This window comes from Homo sapiens, chromosome 7 (assembly GCF_000001405.40).
Source record: "Homo sapiens chromosome 7, GRCh38.p14 Primary Assembly".
In the NCBI taxonomy this organism is placed as follows: domain Eukaryota; kingdom Metazoa; phylum Chordata; class Mammalia; order Primates; family Hominidae; genus Homo; species Homo sapiens.
In genome coordinates this window covers 85,205,846-85,230,064 of record NC_000007.14, presented here as the reverse complement: position 1 = coordinate 85,230,064, position 24,219 = coordinate 85,205,846, and the positions used below count along the sequence as shown (strand labels likewise).

At 32.5% G+C, this 24,219-nt stretch overlaps 1 protein-coding gene across 3 annotated transcripts in view; it reads left to right on the top strand.

Moving 5' to 3' along the window:
• The window catches only part of SEMA3D (semaphorin 3D), a 254,691-nt gene that overhangs the window by 20,179 nt on the left and 210,293 nt on the right, over positions 1-24,219 (top strand). Inside the window, exon 2 of one of the 3 annotated variants that reach the window (NM_001384902.1) lies at positions 5,624-5,819. The exons of the other annotated variants lie outside the window; for them this stretch is intronic. The gene's annotated coding sequence lies outside the window, so the exon portion shown is untranslated. The remainder of the gene's footprint in view (positions 1-5,623; positions 5,820-24,219) is intronic. 3 annotated transcript variants of the gene reach the window in all.

Here is a 24,219-nt window from a genome sequence, read left to right as displayed (position 1 = left end):
GTAGTAAGAGATTGACAAGGCACAAAATATTCATTCTAATTGGATGTCATTAAATAAACTGCAGAAGAAAAATGTGTGAGAGTTTTACCATTCAAGAAAACTTAGTTTTATTTAAAGCAGTTAAGAAGAGTTTTTTTCTTTTATTTTGAAAAGCAGAAGTACATTGGAGCTTACTTACATTTAAAAATAGGTTCAAAAAGATGGAATGAAAAGTAAGTAGAAGGCTGGCAAAGTGGGTAGTTGAGACAGAATGAAGAATGAAGAACAGGAAAAACAGAAGCAAGGGATTAGAAATAAATTGGATCAGACATGTTAGTAGAGGGGAAAATGCAAAATATGCAAAATGTGCAAAGTTCTATTATTAGAAGGGAATTTGTATCTAATCATTTCCAGTGTTTCATTTTGAATGCTGCTAAGATAAAATGAGACTGAAATTTTATTCATTTTCTTTGGTTTTTCATCAAGGGCACTTAAAGTTACACTCATATTAAATTTAGACACTTGTTAACAAACAGTATATGTAATTTTTGGAGTTTAGCCATAATGTTTTTATAAAAAATAGTTACTAGAGCCATGACCATTTTTGTAGATAAAATCCAATGGTGTAGAAACCCTAATTTCATGAAATGCTCTTATTGAATATGTAGAATTTTTAAAATAATTTTATTGAACTAAAATATTCAGTTATTGGAGGGTATTTTTAAAAAAATAGCAATGGACCAAGACAGTTTTTTATTAATGTAATCTTTCAATTATATTTTTAAAAGCATTTGCAGTACTCTGAGCGAGATGATATCAGAATCTAAGACAAAAATTTTGTCTCATAATTTTTTGAAGTTGTTTATCTTCTGAAGGCTTACAATTACATGTAGTTTCAAGATTTCTAAAATATGGTGTCATATATTTTCTTTTTATTAAACATGCAAAGGCTCCATTTTACAACTTAGTATATCTTCTTATGGTAAATAAATACAATGAAAATAAGAAAAGCAGTTTTCAGAGACAAGGTGATAAACTGAGGTTTTATTTTACTTAGGACTGAAAGAAAAAAAATCATTGAAACAATGTCTAGAAGTTCTTTCACTTTATGGAAACTTACAGAGTATGCTGTGCTAGGTAAAGCATTTTATAAACTGGGCTACTTAATTGTCCTTTGGGATTACCAACATTGTTAAAAAACAGGCCACAAGACAGAGACATTAAACGGGTTTTATTTGTTGTTGTTTCTTTCTTATCCCAGAGCAATGAATTAAAAATGTGTTCATGATTTCTTCTCTCTATGTCTTTTTCATAATTCTCTTATGACTTTCATGAGCAATGAAATCACAAAATAGCAGTTTTAAGATGGCATAAAACAATAAGAAAAACAGATGAGATAAGATAAAGGATGAGAAAAATTATGGATTACCAACTCTTTTGTTAAAAAAAATACAGAAAATGTGTGTGATCAAGGAAGGAATACGATCAAGAGATTACACAAAGAAAGAACAGAATTTTGACTCTATGGCCTGGAGGGCAACAACATAGGTTATCTGATGAGATTTCCAGATCTGACATTGGAAGTAAATATTAGACCACTGTGTACCAGTAGATATTTGTGAAGTCTTACATATCTCTCTTCCTATCTCTGATTTGTTCTGTTTTTTAATAAACATACCATACCGCTTAGTGAATGATAAAATATTTTTTAAAAAATGAAAATGAAATTACCATTCGGAAAATTGGCATAGTGTAGAAAATATCTGAATGGTTGTGTTTCTTTCGCGATTTTTATCTGCACAGTTTGAAATTATTTAACCATGACTTTGTAGTGTGCAGAATACTTACTGGCTTTTCATGCAGATGTTTGACAAGAAAAACAAGAATAGAAAACCTCAAAATATCTGTCAGTATGACAAACACATAAAAAGTAAAAGATACACAAGTCACAGTTTTAAGAGAGATGTGTCATTTTTCATCATAAAATTTATAAAAAGTACAGTCTAACATTGTGCTTTTGGCCAATGTCATATACTTTGATAACAAATATTAGAAACTAAGATTTTCTTAGTCTCTATACCAAGTTGATCAATATAAAAATTAACAGAGGAAGCAAGAACAATTTATTATTTTCTAAATTACTTGAGTCATATAATTATTGCCAGTGTTAATCTTTGTTCCATTGTGATTCGCCATGGAAAATATGATTGACCACAAGGAGTGAGAGATTTTTATAATATTGTACGAACAATCTGGAAGAAATTGCACTATGATTAATAAGGTCCAACTTAGAAAATTTCTTCAAAATGAAATAGTACACAGAATTCTAACTTATGAAATTCATCATACATTTGTTTTCTACTAAAAGAATGTAATTTTTTCTGCAGACCTGATATTAAATATATTCATACATATATTACATATATTTTATATATTTGTCATGCATGTTTTCAAATTAGATGCCATGTATTTCAGTCTGTTTGTGCTGCTATAACAAAATACTATTAACTGGGTAGCTTATAAACAACTGAAATTTATTTTTTGTAGTTCTGGATGCTGAGAAATTCAAGATTAAGGTACTGGCATATTCAACATCTAGTGAGGGCCTGTTTCCTGGTTCATAGATGGTGGCTTCTGTCTGTGCCCTCACATGTTAGAAAAAGCAAAGCAGCTCTTTGGGGTGTCCTTTATACTGGCACTAATCCCAGTCATGAGCAATCTGCCCTCATGATCCAATAACCTCCCAATGTTCCCATCTCCTAACATGACATTGGTGGTTACCTTTCCACATAGAAATTTTGGGAGACCCAAACATTGAGACCATGGCATCATGTAGGTTTACAATGTTTCAAAGAATAATGATGTGAATATTTTTATTATGTTCTTACAGTTTAGCCCTAATCCTTATATTTCATAGAGAGTACATTGATAATATTTACAGAAATACTTTCCAGCAGAATAAATACTATTCAGCAAAAAATATAAATACAAAGGACAAAAAGAGTCAATTAACTCAATATCATTTTTCAAGAAAATAAACCGTGGAAAGGGATCTCAATTACTGCTTTTACAATTCAATCTTATTTTTATTTGAAAGCACATAAAGGTCATTGCGCTTAATGCACATACTTTAAAAGAAACCACAGGGCTTTTCATTTACCATCAGTTATCCACTGATGTATAGATAAATCTTTATAGTACCATAAATTTCCACAATATAAACTCAATAAAGAAGTACGTGGCATGCACTTTGAAGATATCTGCCTTGTAATCAGTAAAGTTTCTATTCCATAAAGCAGGCTGTGTTTAACCCTCACTTTAAACAATACTAATTATTTTTATGCAACTTTGACTTGTTGCAACAAAGACATTTCTTATATATGAAGACTAACAAAAAAAAAAATCCTCATCTTACTTTTCAGTGTTGAAACTGGAAAACTGCCTTTCTCTTGAATGTGACTATCCACCAAAACAAACTATGAGTTCACAATCCTGTTGTTACCACAAGTACCACAAAACCTGCAAATATGTTATCTAATGTGTTTCCACAACCACAAAAATCAAAGTAAAATTTGCTATCTTTCATAGTTTAATTCCATATTTAAGTGAAAAAGGGGGCTTACCAACCATACAATGAGTATGTCATTTAATAAGAATGCATATATGCTAGTTTTATAAAAAATATGGATACTGCATTATCTCTGGATTGAAGTTGAAAAAACATTGAAGTTATTAGTATTTTTACCTGCAGCATGAAGTTGCAATTTTATTTTGTCAAACCTCAAAAACAAGGATGAAAGGAGTATGTGTTAGATTCATTTGAAACTAAACTCATGAGCACACTAGCAAAAGAAAAAAAGAGTTTTTTTTTAACGAAGTGTCATATAAATTCAAGCTGGTAAAGACTATTTACAGTGGAGAGAGTGAATAAAACATGTGAAAGCCCTGGAATGTTAAACAGCCTTAATACTATAAGAAAATGTACTAATAATGTGTTTGTTTAAAAATATGGGAATTTGATGGGGAGGAGCTAAACAAGGATTTTGATAGCTTAATGATGGATTAGTGAAAGAGAAGTCATAAGTGTAATTTAGAAAATTAGTGCAATGTGGAGGCTTTATAATCCTATATACTAGATTTTTATATTATTGTATTTGTAAAGTATAGTATGTAAAACTTTCAAGGTAATATAATCTTTCCTAAGAAATGATGTTTGTAACATGAAATTGAAATGGGAAAGATTCCCTTGTCCCCCTGGCCGGATGCAATGGGGAGTGTGGCTCGCCTCCTCAGTACCCCACTGCTCATACCTCTAGGGGAGCATACAGGCAGGGACCTGTGGGGCTCTGACCCCACAGCAGTGTCTAGGGGTGAATGTTTACAGCTAAAGCCCCAGTGGGCGTGTGTTACAGGGTGCTCTTTTAGTTTAGCAGTCTGTAGGTGGCTCATCACAATTTTTCTGTCAATTAAGATAGGATATGTACCTAAATCAAAATTGCTGATAGTTATCTAGAAAATCTTTTAACCTTTCAATCTGGTTAAGTATGATTTCTTAATAGCCAGTTCAGCAAACTTTATACTGATGCCCCACACACCAGGCCACTCCAGCCACTCCACCTGGAAGACCTCCTCATTAAACATAGGCTTCTAACATCCCTCACCAGGCTGCATCTCCAAGTGAGTGTGTACCTTTCTTACTGTGCCCCATATCACCTAAAGGCTGGAGATCTGAATTGTTCATGAAGAGAGAGAGAGGAAGGAGAAGGGGAAAAGAAAACAGGAAAAGAGGAAAGATAAGAGGATCACAGATTAGAAGAACACAGCTTATTCTGATTTTCACTAGAAAATAGCACTAAAAGTATAATATATATATGTATAATATATATTACATATATGTATTATATATGTATTTTATATATATATTTATTATATATATGTATTTTATATATATATTTATTATATATATGTATATATGTATGTATATATATATATATATATATATATATATATATATATATATATATATATATATATAAAAGAAAATCAGGAGCAGTGATTCTCAAAAAGGAAACTCCACAGATTGTATGGTTTGAAAAGCATAGACAACATAATAATTTTGTATTTCGAAAATGAAACAAATGTATTGTTTTCATGATACAAACTGCTCAGAATGAAACTGGACAAAATCTTCTTGGATAAATATATGCATCTTGTGGTAAGGAAGAAAGAAAATGAGATTTTCATGCTTATCAGTATAAAGCAAGGCTTTAAAAATATTGCAATAGAGAATAGGCATCTCTGCTTTTAAAGGCTGCCTGTTTTGCCAACTTTATTTGACTATATGTTTATTAGTATTGTAGGGTGAAAGATAATTACAGGACCATTTCTAGTGAAAGTTAAGAAGATGACACTTAAATAACTCAAAACAAAAAGATGAGCCTAGATATGACAAGGTTGTTACATGATCTAGCTAATGCTGAACTAGTTGATAAAATATGCACATTCATCTAACACTGTTACTTTAGGCAGTTTCCTTTTCATTTTACACAACTTTTTTTGACCTCACTTTTTTTACCTACAAAGTAATAAATTCCATTAGGTGAATTCCAAAATTAATTTCAGCCATAACTTTCCTATTACATAGTTCCATTAACAAATGATGTGATGCAGTCTATGTTGCAAGTTGGACTACCATTTATCCAAGACGACGAATTGTGCTCTGGAATGCAGAATACAGCACTGGGAGTTGGCCTCAGGACTTCAAGATTTGCTGCAGGCATTCAGAAGAGTTATTTAAATTCTCTGGACTTCAGTTTTCTCACCTACAAATACAAACAAAGGTAAAATAATCTCTAAGTTTCCTTCAAGCTCTAATATTCGGCAATTTTATAAGTAGACCTGTGTGTGTGTTATGGGAATTACAAAAATAATCCCAGTGCTCTTCTAAGTAAATAATGTAGCTTTCTTTATAAAGTGTTATCAAGAAGTTACACAAATAAACTGTTGACCCTTAAATAATTTTTTTCATTTGAAAATTGATATATTTGTAGTATTGCCATGTGACAACATATAATAAAAATTGTTTCCAGTTTGTTTTTCCTGTGTCTGTCTGCCTTTGCCTGCCAGCTTTGGAATTGTAGTGTGTGGTTCTTTTCTTTGCATTATTTCTTAGAGACTTTTTTTTTTCAACAGCTTTTTTGGAATGGGGGTTACACGGATAAGTTCATTAGTGGTGATTTCTGAGATTTTGATGCACCCATCACCTGAGCAGTGCACACTGTACCCAATGTGTAGTCTTTTATCCTGCACCCCCCTCACCCCTCCCAGAGTCCCCAAAGTTCATTGTATTATTCTTATGCCTTTGCATCCTCATAGTTTAGTTCCCACTGATAAGTGAGGACATACAATGTTTGGTTTTCCAGTTATGAGTTATTGTATTTAGAATAACCATCTCCAAGTCCGTCCAACTTGCTGTTAATGCCATTATTTTGTCCTTTTTATGGCTGAGTAGTATTCCATGGTGTATACACACACACACACACACACAAATATATGATATATATATATATCATATTTTATTTATCTTCTCATTGATTGATCGGCTTTTGAGCTAGTTCCATATTTTTGCAATAGCAAATTGTCCTGGTATAAACATGCCTGTACAAGTCTGTTTTTCATGTAATGACTTATTTTCCTCTGGATAAATACCCAGTAGTGGGAGTGCTGGATTGAATGGTAGTTCTAATTTTATGAGGTTGGTGCAAAAGTAATTGTGGTATTGTCATTAAAATGGCCAAAACTGCAATTACATTCACACCAACCTAATAGTGCTTTAAGGAATCTCCATACTGTTTTCCACAGTGGTTGTGCTAGCTTACATTCCCACTGGCAGTGTAAAAGGGTTCCCTTTTCAGCACATTCACACCAACATCTATTTTTTTTTAATTGTGGCCATTCTTGCAGGAATAAGATGGTATTGCCTTATGGTTTTGATTTGCGTTTCTCTGACAATTAGTGATGTTGGGCTGTTGGGCATTTGTTCATGTTTGTTGGCCATTTGTATATCTTCTTTTGGGAATCATCTATTCATGTCCCCAGCCCACTTTTTGATGGGATTACTTGTTTTTTGCTTACCAATTCGTTTGTTTTCCTTGCAGATTCTGGATATTAGTCCTTTGTCCGATGCATGGTTTGCGAAAATTTTCTCCCACTCTGTGTGACACTTAAATAATTTTCAAGAGACCTTGATATTTTCATAAGTCCTTTCCTCATCTCCACTAAATAGCATGGTGGAGACAGCAGAAGTACAAATTCATAGTTATCTCCTAGGTCCTGGCTGAGGGTCGCATTCTTTGTTGATGATGAACTCCTAGTACAGTATAGTATCTCTGCTAAAGACTGAAGTGCAGGGCAATGCCTTCGTTTCTGTGAAGCAGACACAGAGGGTTGCTTATGCCTTGACCAGTTGAGGTTGGGGAGGTTAATATTTTCTTAAGTTAACTTTAAATAAATCAATTAATTCTGGCCATACTTTTAGAACAGTGAATATACTCCACACACAGAAAAATAAACTACCTGAATCCATCTTTAAAACAAAAACCATAGTGGGAAACAAAACAAACATGGAAAATAACAGACTATATACATATATTTACGTACATACACAAATATATGTAATATATGTATAGTGTTTTATAGTCTTTTATGCTTATATTCATTGCCATTGCATTGGAATGATTAGTTTTCTGCATATTACCAGACACCCAGCTTGGATTTTTTTTTCATGTTAATTTGAAATTTAAATGCAAAATTCCAATTTTACCTTTAGCTACTTTGAAAACAGCTTTATTTAAATAAAATATCAAATCACCTTCAAAAACATACGTACAAAGAAATGTTTAACTTCTCAGGGTTAGTAAATGGTAGCAAAATAAGTTTGCAAGAGATAAAGACTTTCAGATGTTTTGCTAATTTTTAGGGCATATATTCTAGAAGTAAAAATATGTATTAAGAAAATTGGTCTAGTAATGTACACATCTTGAGAATAGACAGCTAAATTTGATTGGGGATTTCTAAACCTCACTGCAGCCTTCAGCAATTTTATTATCTGCAATGATTATTATGTGTTTCTTGCCTTCCTAAAAGACTTGCTCAATAGCAAGTTAGGTTAATATACATATTAACCTATGTGTGATAAATTTGAGTGTCATAAAACAATCTAGATTGAAATTCTATAATTATACACTATGTTTTTTTAATCAAAGGAGAATTTGACATTTAAGTCAATGCTATTAATCCTTCACAGTTTTTGTTCTATTCATAGCATTGATTGTTAAGTTTATTTTAAGAGAGATTTTTCCTTTTCTTTCTCCTAAAGATACTCATAACATTATTTGACATTATACCTGAGACATCTTGTTTGTCTATTAAGTGTCTGTGTGTATGATTCATGTGAGTGACTATAATATAATCTATTACACACTTAGCTATCTGTTTTATATTTACTTGTGTTTTGAGAACACTAAACATAATAAACGCTATCACTGGTGACCACCAAATGAGAACATCTTGACAATCATCTCAGATACGATAACACAGGTTTCAGGAACACAGTGTTTGACACCAGAAAAGAATATATGGATTTGAACACTGGTCAGTATGTGAACTTTAGTATCTGATCTATTCTTTTACAGTTTGGTTTTCTCAGTGGTAAAGTGAGGATATATTGAAGTCTTAACCTTTAAAAAGATGCAGTTTCTACTTCAAACAATAGAGTGTTACCTAAATCTCTATTTCCCCTACTTTTGCATCTTGGTGTGCCTTTTAATCATATTCTTTACTGAGTTGCTTTTTACTTATATTTTCCTTATTCTCTCTCCCTTGTTTAGGCAAACACTGTCCAAAATAAAATTGCCTAGTTGAACAATGGATAGTTTACACATGGACTCTTCATTCCTTTCCTAGTGGTTCAATGGGATCTATGCTAGTTTTGTCTGTTTCTGTTCTGGGGTCATGACATTGGAGCACATGCCTGCTTGAAAAGATCTGAGGCCAAGGTCCTTTGGACTCCCTCATCACTGTTATACCTGACCCCAACCCTATAAAAAATAAAGTTCAGTTTACTGCTCTGAGTTATTCACTGCTCTGATCCACTTTTGTGTTGAACTCTTTGTCCTGCATTTTGTGCAACATGATTCTATGTAGTTGGGCCCAGGCCAGGCCCCTCTGACCTGAACCAACTGATTGTACCATCAGTTTAAGAGATAACTCTGTTTGGATCAAAGAAACAATGAGAGCTCCTTTCCTTCTCTGTCAACACTGTCTAGATAGCTGTCTTTTAAATAGCACTGTTTCTTTATCAGGCAAGAGTAATGTATTATTTTTAAATTTGTAGTCTTTTTCAGAGTTGATAAAGCCCATAACATATATATTATCTTTTAAAGACTGGTGTTACTACTTTCCTAACTTTACACACTAGAAAGCTAAATCCAGAGAAGTTTAATTAGCTGCCCAAAATTACACAGTAAGCAAGGTGCAGAACTGACATTATAATCTCAGACTTTTTTTAATCAGAGACCACTATCAGTTCTCCCGATAATCATATGACTGACCCATTCATAAGTTGTGAATTGAAATGGGAGAGGACAGAGTGCCAATAAACATTTTTTGTTTCCCCCTGGGGAAGAGGTTTGCCTAGAATTTTAACATAAATCGGTAAATAGAAATTTGTGTAGAGATAAAAAAAAAAAAAAAAAGGAACCTGAAACTCTGCCACCCATATGTATTTTTTATGGAAATTTTTCTAGGCTGGCTTGTTGACATAGCCCAAGAAACCAAACCAAAGTGTCAGTGACAGAATGAATTGTTTAGAGACACAGCGACAACACATGGTATCCAGATCTGACTCAGAACATCTAGGACAGAATACCAGTTGTATTTGAATATGATACCTTGAAGAATAAGGCAAACTAAAGTAAAATATTTTAAAGTACTGATTTTTTTATTATTACAGTTAGGAGCAAACAAACATTTGTGGAGGGGATTACTGACAATTTCCAAATTGACTGACAATTTGCTAATATCAGATAGCATATTTAAGCCTTGCTTATTTAACATTTCCTACCAACAAACTTGGAATAATATTAATGAAAACATTCTATGAGCCTGTTGTAGGTGACTTAAATAGGTTCTATATTTCCGTGTGAATAATCTATAACTCAAAACACTTCACACAATAACTTTTTATTGATTTTTCTTTCATAAAGTTTGAGATTGTTAAACCATATTGCTGGGAGTAAAATAACATACTTTGCGTGTATAATTTTAGAATTATGGAAAATCTTTCACCAGCACCACTGTCTCTTCAATGGCAAGCATATATTTTGATCATAACTGTATCCTTGAAAGACTCCTACAGGACCTAGAGTAGCTCTCCTGTGAGTGTGTGCCTGTATGTGGTTCCATCTGTTATGACTCTGTATCCTTCTGTTAGAAATCTTATTTTAAAATAGATGTTATAATCTAATTAATTTTACTATATATATTCCATTTATAAAGTAAGTTGAAATCACATATATTTACCATATGATAAAGAGTAACCATAGAATTGGTAATGTATTGCTAAAAAAAATGTCTTTCATTTTATATTAATGTACTAATAACATAAATCAGGTAAAAATTGTGTCTGATATACAAACATGAGTAAAATATAATTGGTGTTCACTTATAGCTGTAATACATTAAGGGCACTGGCAGTGAAGCCAACATAACCAATTCTGATATTTTAGTCATAGGTACCTCTTCTTTCCCCAAGGACTCCTGGTTTTATTTCTTTTTCTTTACTTTTTTTTCCCTCTGTGGGCTCTGGAGAACAATCTACATTCTCTTCCTCTGGCAGATGCCACCACAAACTCTTTCACCTAGGGTTCTTCACCCACAAGCCTGGGCATACAGAGGATGTGGAAATCTAAGCTGTACACCCATTGTTTGCTGCCATCCAAGAGGAGAACATGGGCCACTTTTTTATTTAAAAGTTCTACAACTAATCATGGTTAAGAAACAAAGGGGAGAGTTTTCAAAATAAGTGCGTAGCTCATTTCTAGAAGCTTGATCTTCTACTTCTTAGTTTTAATTGGGTATCAGAATAACTTGAGTGATACATTAAATATGCATATCCCTTAGCTAACTGAGGGCTTATTGAATCAGGATCTGTGACAGTTGGAACCTGGGAATACCCACATTTTAAACAAGCCTGCTGAGTGTTAAAAGTTGCTTTGAAATCTTGTAATATAGTTTCTAATTTTAGATGACAAATAAAATTCTAAGACATTGGTCTCCATAAAAGGTAGGCATCATTGGCTTGCTCATGATAGAAATACAATATTACAATTTGTATGTATTAATTTTTCTTTAAAGTAAATGGCCAATTAAATAAATTATCTGTTAAAGCTCAGACTGATGTGTATACTACTACATAATGCAAACACAAATAAAACAGACACAAAAAGAGCTGATTTACCTTCTTCAATTATAAACTCTTCAAACTGCACATTGTAATGTAAAGTCAATTATAATCTCATGAGATATAGTGAGAAATTATATAAAAATACCCAAAATTTTCAAGACCATTTGAAATATAGAGTCGCATCAAAGATAAATAATTGTACACTTTTAATAATAAAGTTAAAAAGGCAGTACATCAAAATATGGCTTAAAAATTATTTTTTATGTATTCCTATTGTATGAATGTTTTATAATGTGTACAATGTACTGGTACATGTCCATCACTTAAATAAATACATATATATTAAGAATACATTTTGATAGTTTTTATTCAAAGAAGTATACAGTTAGAAAGGTCTGTAGACCATATAGTTTCCTGCCTTTTTTATCCAATTAAAGGACATCTTTCTTCAGAAATGATATGTTTCTTATCTCAGAAACCCAATCAGTGCAGAATAATTGAATATCCTTTCATCTCAAATGAACAATTTATGCTTCTTTGAGACTCCTACACTCCTGGCATTACTCAGGCACTCGGCCATGACCAGGAGTAACTTTCACTTTTGTCGACAAATCTGTAAATAGCAAAATGATTATTTAACTAATAACAATTATTGAAGCATACAATGCTGTGAATGTTGCAATTGATAATTGAAAATGATGACACCAGAGAGTACTTGAGATTGTTAAACTATATTGATGTAAATGACAGTGATATAAATGATAACAACAATAATTTAATGACAGCTTTGTGACAGGCATTGCACTAAACATTTATCAAAGGCGATTATCTCCATGTATAAATGAGGAAAACACCTATATCAAAGAAACAAATTACTTGGTAGAGTCATAATGGGCTTCATAAAAAAGAACATTAGTATTGGCCTTTCATAAACAAATGGGTGTTTGCTGGCACTTATTGGCAAAGGGCATTCTTGAGCAAAGAAACATGACAACAAAAGGGCCCTTATCTACTGGTTCCTGGGAATTAGAACACTCTCTTATCCTCCAGTCCATTGGCTAAATCTTGCACTTTTTTATGATGCCAACTTTTCTTCACTTATCCTTCTTCATTGTCCCTTGAATTAAGTGTCCAGAATACATATCTTAGTTGCTTAATTATTTGTTTATACTCTCCCATCTCTGTTTTTGTTAAACTATAAGATCTGTGAGGACAAGGGCCCTATTTCTATCACTCACCTTTATCTTTTTTGAGGCCAGGAGTATTACTGAAGCATGTAGCCAGTGCCAAATAAATATTCGATGAATATGTGACTAATATATTAGTCTGGCTTGGAAACAGGCATATGCAGCTATCACTGAGGGCGATGCTAAACAGAACACAAATAAGCACAAGTTTGGCCTAAGGTTTGAAGGCCTCTATGTAATAAGCAGTCACAGCATTATAGCTAGAGAAGTGCAGATAAGTAGAAAATAATAAAGATGTTGTGTACAGAACTATAATGCTTTGTATTATGTCTTTATATATGATGTGCAATTATATGAAGCTATTAAACTTTCAACATTAAATAATCATGTGGCTCTATTTTGCATTAGGAATAATAAAATAGTTAACATTTATATAAAATGCTTTGTATTAGAAAACACACTAAAATCTTAAATAGATTATTTAATTTAATGACCACGGAGACTCAAGGGCAAATCCAAGTTTTTTGGAGCCTGAAGCTTATATAATTTGGGGGTGGGAGATCTTAAGAATTCAGTATTAAGAATATTAAATTAAGTACAAAACTAAATATTTATTTAGAATGAGAAAAAATTCAATAAATTACAATTACAGAAAACAACAAATTTCATAGACATTGTAAAACCCATAAAAATAACATATTTTATTAATTAACACTACTCCATTTTTTTCTTGCATTTTTATCTGTCCTACTTAGTTAACATTATTAGCACTGATAACACAAAAGCAATGGTGGGAAAAACTACCAGCACATTAGCACCAATGAAAACAGTGGTGTCAAATTCTAAGAGCAATCATTGTGTTCTTTGCCATCTTGCACTTAAAAAAAAAGCCAGTTTAATTTCAGAATTTCCTTGGTGAGACAGTAAAAAATATTAATTTTACTAAATTTCAACAATTGTATACATGCTTTTAAATATTGTGTGTAGTAAAGTGGGAAATTTGCCCAAAACAATTCTGCCACACAACAAACTACAATGATTTTTTCACACACACACACACACACACACACACACACAACACTCTTATTTGTGTTACAAGTTGAACTGGTCACTTGTTTTTTCATGTAAAATTATTTTTACTTGAAAGAACAACTGACAAAAAACCCCTATAATTTAGAGTTAAATATTTGGCTGAAACTTTCTCCAAAATGAATGAAGTAAACCTGTATCCTCAATAAAAATGTGTTGTCTTTGATAAAGTGAGCTTTCAGGCAAAAATTAGGACTTTGGAAAAATTACATCCACAGTGTGAGCTTCACAGTAATTTTAAGACATCTCTGATGAAATCAATGATAATATTAATGAATGTGATAGTTTGCCATTATATAATAAACTATGTTAACATTTGGAAGGTCTGCATAACTCAAAGAACCAATATTTTCCAGATGAAAAGTTTTATATTATGAAAAAGAACCTTAAAAGTGCAAAATAGGCCAATTGTTTTAAATTTCTCATTACAACTAGCTTTTATGAAATTATTATTTTTCAGGTTTGAGTGTAATCTTGAAGAAAATTATCTATAATTATCTGAAAAGGCTATGAAAGTAATTTGCAAAAATGTAAAATGGTTCTACTCTTCTCCCGAAATGTCTTGTTTGTTGGGAAAATATATGTTTTTCATAAAAAGTGTAATATATATTTACATGTAGTAAGTTTACTATTGTTATTTTCAAATGAATTAATAAATGTATATTTAATTTTTTCCATTTTAATTTCTGTTATAGTAGTTATAATCCGCAGAAACAAAAACTTAGGGCCTTTAATGAATTTTTTGAGTATAAAAGTATCCTGAGATTAACAGTTTGAGAACTATTACTCAAAGAAGAAGGTGAGGGAGAAAAAAGATTGCAGTTCTCCGTCTCTTGCTCTGATCCCAGATCTTGTTTTGGGGAGGGCATAGAACAAAGTAGTTTAATACAAATGACTTGAAATCAGATTGAATAAATTGGCCGAGAATTCAAGCTGCTCCAGATAACTAGCTCTGTCATACTAAGAGACAATCTCTTGATGCTTCCAAGTCTTAGTTTCATTATTTCTAATATGAGAACAACAATAACACCTACTTCATAGGGTCTTTCCAGAGGTGAATGCAACATGAAACTAATGAAATTTACTTTTCAAGCCCTGTGATTTGCACAGACAACTTCTAAAGCCCTAGTTAATGAGTGCAGGGCAATTGAGATTAGTCAGTCTTCACAGTCCAAGAAAATCTGAAATGTCCAGAAACCTTAAAGCTTTTATGAAAAAAAAAAAAAAAGAAAGAAAGAAAGAAGAAGAACACTTGGTAGAATTTACTGCAAATTTGACAACAATCCTAAATTTTATAATACAAGCTAAAGGGACCTCTCCTAAACTATCAGTGATAAAATATAAATATTAAATAACCTTGATAGGGAAACAATATTTTTCCTACTCTTTCTATAGGAAAAATATTGCAAAATCATTGCCATATGAAGAGGCCAAAAAGAACCCAAGTGAAATGTACATACGTACATAGTTTGATCAGTCCTTAGAATGCTTGATATTGGGTTTATATGTAGAAATAACCATTGAAATCATCATTATAAGAGCCAAAAACAGGCCGGGCACGGTGGCTCACGCCTGTAATCCCAGCACTTTGGGAGGCCGAGGAAGGTGGATCACCTGAGGTTGGGAGTTCGAGACTAGCCTGACCAACATGGTGAAACCCCAACTCTACTAAAAATACAAAATTAGCCTGGTGTGGTGTCACGTGCCTATAATCCCAGCTACTCGGGAGGCTGAGGCAGTAAAATTGCTTGAACCCGGGAGGTAGAGGTTGCAGGAAGCCGAGATCACACCATTGCACTCCAGCCTGGGCAACAAGAGGGAAACTCTGTCTCAAAAAAATTAATTAATTAATTAAAATAATTTAATAAAGAGATACACATCTCATTCCCTCCTTCCAGCTAAAATTACATATCTTTCTCTCTGGGTGTCGTATGTTTCTTCTCTATCTTCTACCCTAATTTAAATGGTATAGAGATGTCACTCTAGGTACAATTAGTAATATAGTGCAAACACTTTATTACAATATGTGTACAACTAAAGCATATTTTCCAATGATGACTAGTGTTAGTACCAAAGAAAAGTCCTTGGTGCTATTGATCCACAATGTTGAATTAGTTATTTCACTCTAAAGAGTGGATCCCAGTTGTTAGAGAAGGGAAGTGTCAACTAACCAAAACAATATGTGTATTTTATTACTCTTCCCATTTGATGTTTGACAGAATAAAATGGTACCTACCCAAACCACAATATCAGGTTATGGATCCAAGTGGATTTTGTTTATTTGAATCAATATATAGGATTGTGCACGTTTATGGGTTTATATTACCATAACCACAGATGGTAGCCACACTGAATGTATGACATTTTTACATAGATGCACATGTTTTCAATGATGCTAAACTTAATAATTTATGTACTTTTTTATATAGCCCATGAGACTGAAAGGCAGCCAAAGAGAGCCACATCTAGAAATGTTGCTGATGTAAACTAAATTAAATTTAGCATAATAATGCACAAACAAAATGAAAATTAAAAATAAAACACACTTATCAAATGCAGTTTTAGTACTAATCAAATACCGTGGGTCACAGAGGTGAAAGACCTCATGCACTTACACTAAGTGATTAAAGAGATAGCAGTTTCTGTTTAATGCCCTAGGAAACTGTCCCCTCTTGTCCCCTTAAAGGATCACACAGAACTGAAGAGAATTCCCTTTATCCATCTGTGAAGAAATACAGACACTGGCAGATGCATGACAACCATCAACACACTGAATAATTAGAAAATCATTCCCTGGAGATACAGAATTTAAGAGATAAGTGTGTAAAAACAAGTAAGTAATCAATCAATAACAATAAAGGCCTTACTTAAAACTTATTGGAAAGTAGTTTTTTTCTTGCAATTAATATTTAGCTCATCTGATAACATATAAATGATGTGAAGAATACCATTTTGGATTTTAAAAGACTATACTTTTTAATACATTTCAACTATTAAAGCTTAGTATCGTTTTAGGTACTTTTAGCATTTGTAGAAACTATTCAAAAATCTAGTAAAGTCTTTTAAATTATACTATTGCAAATAGAGACAATTTTTAATTCTGTGTGTGTGCTTATCAATTAAGCACACTATCTCTATTTGTTAGCTGCTGATAAAATAGGTAGTGAGAAAGGCAATGACCATAAGCAGTGTGTTCAACATATAATGATTGTGATTGATGAAAATCAGCACTATACATTGCTTAACACCTGGGAAAACTAATCGTCCAATAGTACTAGCAGTAACAATTCCTAAATGTATTCTAATATACTTTTTATAAACTGATAATTTATAAATTCTAGAATAAACCTGAATGAATAGAAAATTGTTCTTTTAATATTTGACAAAATAAGCTTTCTTCTGGGCAATATTTTAGCTAAGTGTACCATTCAATCTAATGCACTGTACAAGTCATTATTGCATGAAGTTTCGTTTAGCAGATATTTTGCCTGAAATGTAATCATTTGGCATAAAACTGCTATAAATTGAGTGGAAATAAAATACCTAAAAATAAAGAGTAAATAGTTCATTATTTGAAGACACTAATATAAATCTATAAATTAGATTTTAAAAGAAAATCTTGCTACCAGAGCTGAAGTTTTAATATCAAAAATTTATCTGTAGTAAATCATTAAACAAAGCTTAATTTATTTCAGCATTATAAAATTTTAATATTAAAAAGAAGCATTTTTCTCACATCTAATGATACAAACACGCAACACACACACAGGTGCATGCACATGCATTTACAGACTTGTTTTTTAATCTGAGTCGATATCAAAGTTGATAAGTGGAAGAAACCACATAGGCACTATATTTCTCTGAAGAAGAACTGATCAGCCCTGCAATTTGTTTCAGGAAAAATACAAGTTTAACAGGTACACATTGCTATTCTAAGGCTGAAGGGTTTTCCATTGATGGGGTTCAAGACAAGTTACTCTAAAATATGGCATGTCCGCATTTGAGAAAGCATCAGAAGCAGGTAACAAAATCTAGGAAAGTCACTTTGAATTTTTCCTGCCCTTCTCCCCTGAAATAAATCATAAGACCCTCGTTTGAGAGGTGCCCTCCCTATACTGGAAGGAAAGGAACATTTTCTGAACAGAGAAACACAGAAGAATCTGAACAAACAGGCCTTGCTAAATTCCCCTATACCATTTGTACTATTAGATCATACTTCATTTGTCCAAGCATGCTTCTCCATGACTATCCAAGTATTTATTAAGCCTAAGTAAAAAAATAGTTTACCATTGAACAAGTAGGAGATTAGTGATGGCATCAGGCATGGTCAAAAATTCACTGATAACTTTTGACTCTCCAAAAACTTAATCACTACAGCCTATTGTTGACCATAAGTCTTACAGATAACATAAACAATTGATTAACACATATATTTTTGTGTGTTTTATGTATTATATACTATATTCCTATAATAAAATAAGCTAGAGAAAAGATAATGTTATTTTTAAAATTATAAGGAAGATAAAATATAGTTATTCATTTACTGGAAGTAGATCATCACAACGATCTTCATTCTCATCTTCATGATGAGTAGGCTGAGGAGGAGGAAGATGAGGGGTTGGTGTTGCTGTCTTAGGGGAAACAGAGGCAGAAGAGCACACGCACACAGTTCAAACTTGTGTTGTTCAAGCATCAACAGTACACAGTTTTCTTGTCTATTTAGGCTTTTATTTCTGAAGCCTTTCATGCATTTGTAATTTATATTAAATACATTTGTATGTCTTTCTATTGTTAGTTTGCATTTTGCTATAGATGCCCCAAACCTAGCAATGAGTGAAGAAAGAATTTCAACAGCAAACATAATTCTGTTCTGTTGAACTGCTCTTATGTTCATAATTCAAGTATCAATATAAAAGAAAATATTCAGGCTTTCTATCTTCACCTAACAGTGTGGGCTGCCTGAGTCCTCTCTAAAATACATATCAACAAAAGGAAAGAGAGAGGGAAAACTGGGAACTCAATGTGGAAAATGTCCTCACAGAGACTAGCAAGTAGTAGAGGAAAATTGAAGAACAGAAACAGAATTAACAAATGTTTAGAATTGGGTCTCATCTTTCTTTATATTTACATCTACTTTTGGGAACCCGTTTACCTTATTAAATTAATTTTTCAGAAATTGTTGTTTGCATTTAAGCCCATTCATCCTCTTTGGTTAAAGAGGATTGATAATTGCTCCGTATAAGACACTAAATTGGAACTGTAGAGAATCAGGGAATCCTTTTACATTTATTTTGTAGTTAATTTGACAGTAGATCTGTCTCCCCAACTTAATCATAAAGTGAAAGATGATTTTTATTTACCATTTTCTCTCCAGCATCTACAATATTGTCTGTCTCTTAGTAGACTTTCAAAGTATATTTGATACATTAATACATGAATAAAAACAGAGGAGGTTATAGTAGAATACTTTAGCCTAATCCTACTAAAGACCATAGTAAGTAATAAGTCAAATAGCCTGAATATTGTATATTACTTACATCTAATGGTGTTGAGGATCACACAAATTAGACAATAATAATTGGGATAGCCTAACATAGCAACTTTGAATTTATTGCCTTCTGTTACTCTACAATAGATAAACCAGTTTCCATTTCTGAATATGGTATCTTCAATCTTTAATTCTAGTGAATGCTTTATCATCTTTAATCCTGCTGAATGTTTGTATATCTATTGTAGATGTCTTAAGTAACTTTTTAAATGTTTCTAATGTAGGACAAAGTATAGACTTTGATATAATTTTATTCATTTCAGACCTATGCTTTGACTCTAGTTACATAGAATCCTTCATCATTGTTCCTTTCCTATGTGAAATCTCCTAATAATCCTAAAATGTTTATGCACATATGGATAATTTCCAATTAACTATGGAATGTCAAATAATGATTTAAGGAATTCCCTAAAAGCATAAATTAAATTAAAAGAAGAAAATGTATCTTATGTAGTCATCAAAATTTAACAATAACCTTTCACTTTAAAAATTATTTGTGTTATGACTACATAATGATTAACCATGTTTTAATAGGAAAAACAAAGGAAAGAATAACTAATAGGTTATCTTCCCTAATGTAGAGACCCAGGTTTTGTGACCAAAGGAAGATTTGCAATGGTTTTACTTAATTAGCATCTGCTGAGAGAGGCTGTGGTCTATAATAGAATCTTCAAAACATGGGTGTTGTTTAGAGCCTCCCATTAGTTAATGGTGTGACCTTGGTCAAACAGATCTGACCCTTAGTTTATTCATCAGTAAATGAGGAGGTTGGATCAATACATTCCAAACCTAGAGTTCCACTGTTTTCTGTGGTAGTCCCAGGAGTTATCACTCCACTACTGGTGTTCTTGGAAATTTTTGAAGGCATTATAAATAGTTTTCAAGGTTTAATAATAACCAAGACAAAGACTGACAACTGCAGTGAAGACTAGATTTTGTCATCGTTTTAAAAAAATGTGTTTTAATTGACCTTGTGGGAATTAAATATGTGCACACATGTTGCACATAAAGTGTTTCAAGCTTAAGAGCTGAACAACTATTTCATTATTTATTGTTGAAAATGTCTTAATGTATTGCACTGGACAGCTTGAGTTTTCTAGTTTCTACAGGTTGATAGTTTGGTATAAAAACTGTATTTGGGAAGAAAGAAGTGAATCACTACAAAATGTCAAAGCAAACAGAGGAATCAGAGGATAAGAAAGGAAGTAATCAATAAAGAATAATAATTCTTTTTGCTCTTCAAAGCTTTTAAGTAATCGATTAGTGAGAAACAGAGCATCTAATCAGTGGTGATGCATTATGATGGTTCAGTCTGTCCCCACTGTCCTTCTTCCTCCCCATCATCCCTTCAGAGGCCTTTTCCTGATTCCCAATTGCCTAATTAGTATTTACCCAGTGGACCAGATTGTGTATGTAAACTATAATGACAATAATTTGCACAAAGTTTTAGTTCTATAGCACCGGTTGTACGTGTGTGTATACATATACATATATACACACATATACATATATATACACACACGTATATATATATTCACATACATATGTATATATATTTGAAAATTCTACACTATATGCACTACAAAAAGAAATGGTAGTTTACCATTTATACCAGACTTGGTTTTACCATAAATCATATCAGTAGTTAAATTTTGAGTTCATTCTGTCAAATTTCATACTATATACTATGCTATATGCTATAAACTGATTTTAATTAACATATTTTGTCATTTCTACTTATTAACTTGGAAAGCTGGTCATACGCAGTGTTGTAGCTTTAATCTCTGGTTAAATAAGGCTAACGAGGCATAAAAGTGTCCTTAGCTACACTTGACTGGGATGGACACAGGCCTTATACTTATCTTCCTTCAGTGGTCCTGATCCTTTCAAATCTAAAACTAAGTTACCCTCTTTCAATGAACATATCTAGATTATTTGTAGTATTGCGTGTATTTTCTTTTCTATATAAAGCTATATATAAATAAACAAACATAAATGTGTGTGAGAGAAGGATACAGCTCATACCTGCCTTAACTTACCTACTGTCTTTGCCACCCCACCTTTCTCACATTTCCAGTGGCAGTGCAGGGAGAGATCCGATGGAGCAGGTGAGTGCAGAGAAGCTTATCATTTCCTCAAAGTTACTAGTGCTGCTTCTCCAGGCTCAAATTCCCAATGTCTGGATTTTGTACAAAGGATCTGCTGAATTTATATTTTGACAAATACCAAATAAGCAGGTAGCAAAATCAAAATTTGACCAAACGTGAAACCAAATCCAAATTTCACAAGCATAGAATGAATTTCTAGAAAACAAGAAAAAAATTAAAGTATTTAAAATTAATTATTTTGCTAAAAATCAAATGGTTAATTTTGTTTCAAATTTGGCATTATGGTGCACTAATTTCTGAACACTAGAGCTTCTTTATTCCTGCAGTTATTGTATTGTAAATTTACAATATCTTATGGATGATGAAATATTATATCTGTTTGTTGCTGTCAATCTCAGGCATTCAGAGACGTTTAAATTTTATTTATTATACAATGGTTAAATAAGGTAAGCAATGTCTCAATTTGTTTTGACATTATATATCAAAATATTTTAAATGTTTAAGCAATATTTTACACTTAGGGTAGTTACTTGATAAATGCAATTATGTAAATTAATATGTATATGATATGTTGTAATTAATGGCTGCTGAACTTTCTTTTGTTAATTACCACATTCAAGTTTTAAAATTGAATGTGAGTAAATTGGGAGTGATTTAGCATATTATTTAAACAAATGAAATTAAAATTTTGAAAGACATGTTCAATATCATCTGAAGTCAGTAAAAGCAACAAGATATTTTCGTCTAACTGACAGCGTGCATTACAGATAGTAAGGCTGTGACTAATGTATTAAATGATTTTTTTCCTATAATAAATGACCAAGATAAAGACCTATCTCCATGTAAGCTCTATAACTTGAAGAGTGGCAAGGATGAATTTCATTGAAGCAATCCACAGATTAATTTTTTAATGATTAAAGAAAATCTTTGTGAATATTTTCATGAAGGTAACATGATTGCTCTAATTTATATGTTTGTTTATATTTACAAATACCTGCTGCTTCACAAAATCACGATGGAAAAAATTCTCAATCCGTCAATCTAGATATATGGCAACAGAGCAATGTAATTGACATTTAAAATTTTTTAAAATTCTGAATTTTCACCCAGGTCTTAACTTTCCTTTAATACACCTTTTGTTCCACACATTTCCTGAAATGGAAAGATTAGCAGGGCCTTCACAGTAAATATCATGGGAAACATTTGCACTTTGAAAAAATATCATTTTAATTTCTTCTACAGCTGGTTTTTGGCAAACTGTTTTCTCTGCAATCAACCATTGGATGTTATTAAGTATTTATTATCTAAAAACACAGTATTTAGATATTTATTGAAACCTCCTTGTCAATGTATGAAAATTGGTATTCTACCCCATTGAAACATCTTGCATAAACAGACGAGAAGGCAGTTATAAAGCCTGTCCTCTTTTACGGTGTTTGGCTGAAGGAGATGAAAACACCCCGATATCTTTCTACTTATGACCAGTAATTCTGTCACATGTCACATTAACCACTTTCTAAATATACAAATAAAGGATGTAAAAAAATCTTATAAGCTTTTAATTTATAAATGAATCATAGCTTTCACTATTTGTTCTCTTGTCTAGGACAAGTTGATAAGTATGTAACAATTACTGATTTTCCATGCCATAAATCTCTTTAAATAGACTCTATGGTGTTAGTTTTCTGAGATCAAATCCTTATCAAATTCCTTATTAAATCTGTTAATGAGGAATTAAAGCAGAAGCAGAATGTATTGGATATGATGAAAATGTATTAATTATAGGATTATTGATTATGCAAAAGTTCAGAAACAATAACAATCATGTGGATATATGTATTTGAAAAACAGCATGTTTTCATCAAACAATGAGCCTGAAGACACACTTTAATGACTGTGCAACATACCCATTCTTTTCCTCCTCCTCTCCAGGCCCATGTCAAGATGCACCCACATTTTGGTGGAGAAAAGTGATCTAGATAATCATCTGGCCATCTTCTCCAAATTGAGCATTTTAAGCATTTGAGTATTTTTCTTTAATCTTTAGATCTCCAAGACAGTCCATTAATACCTAAGAACATGTAACTGGTTGAAATTTTAAAAGTTCTTCATGTGCTTCTCACTTGCCAAATGCCTTGGCTGTCTCTTGGTCTGTCAGCAGTGTCTGTTTCCTAGAGCCCTGGAGTGTTTTCGAAATAATTTCTAGGAAAAGAACTACAATAGGCATATGATGTTCAACAATAAGATTTTACAGCAAGCAGTAGTACTGTGATTCAGGATTGTCCTGAAAGAAAATTGTCTATTTCCCCCCTTCATCCTTTAATATGTTCAGAGTCAAGCTTGGCCTGCTGGGCCAAAGAATTTTATGTATGGTAAGTTCACATATTTGGAAATAGTAAAAAGAAGAAAAATATTTGTAATTTCCAGTTCATGGAGAATAGAAGGGAGAAGGAATGAAAGCAGAGTCATGATGTTGTCAAATGTATCCCAATTTAAACCTGATGAGGAGAAAGTTTATTACATAAGTTAGGGTGGAAGAAGGCTATGCCCCTAACCATGCACCAACCTGGCACATTCACATCAACTCAGTGATCTCTGTAAGGGAGGTCCTGATACGTCATTTTCCTCAGAAACATTAGTTTTCACGGAACTCAGCTAAAGAGACCTAGCTACCAGTTTGGAGAGACTGCCAGGGAGGTCAGAATGTCACAGCAGGAAACTGTTTTGATACATGCAGAGGAAACTGCCTGACCTGTGACTATATGGGCATAGCAGGCAGATCTCAGACAGTTTCATAGAAACAGTGAGGGCTGAGACAAGCCTGAGACAGTTTTGAAACACTGC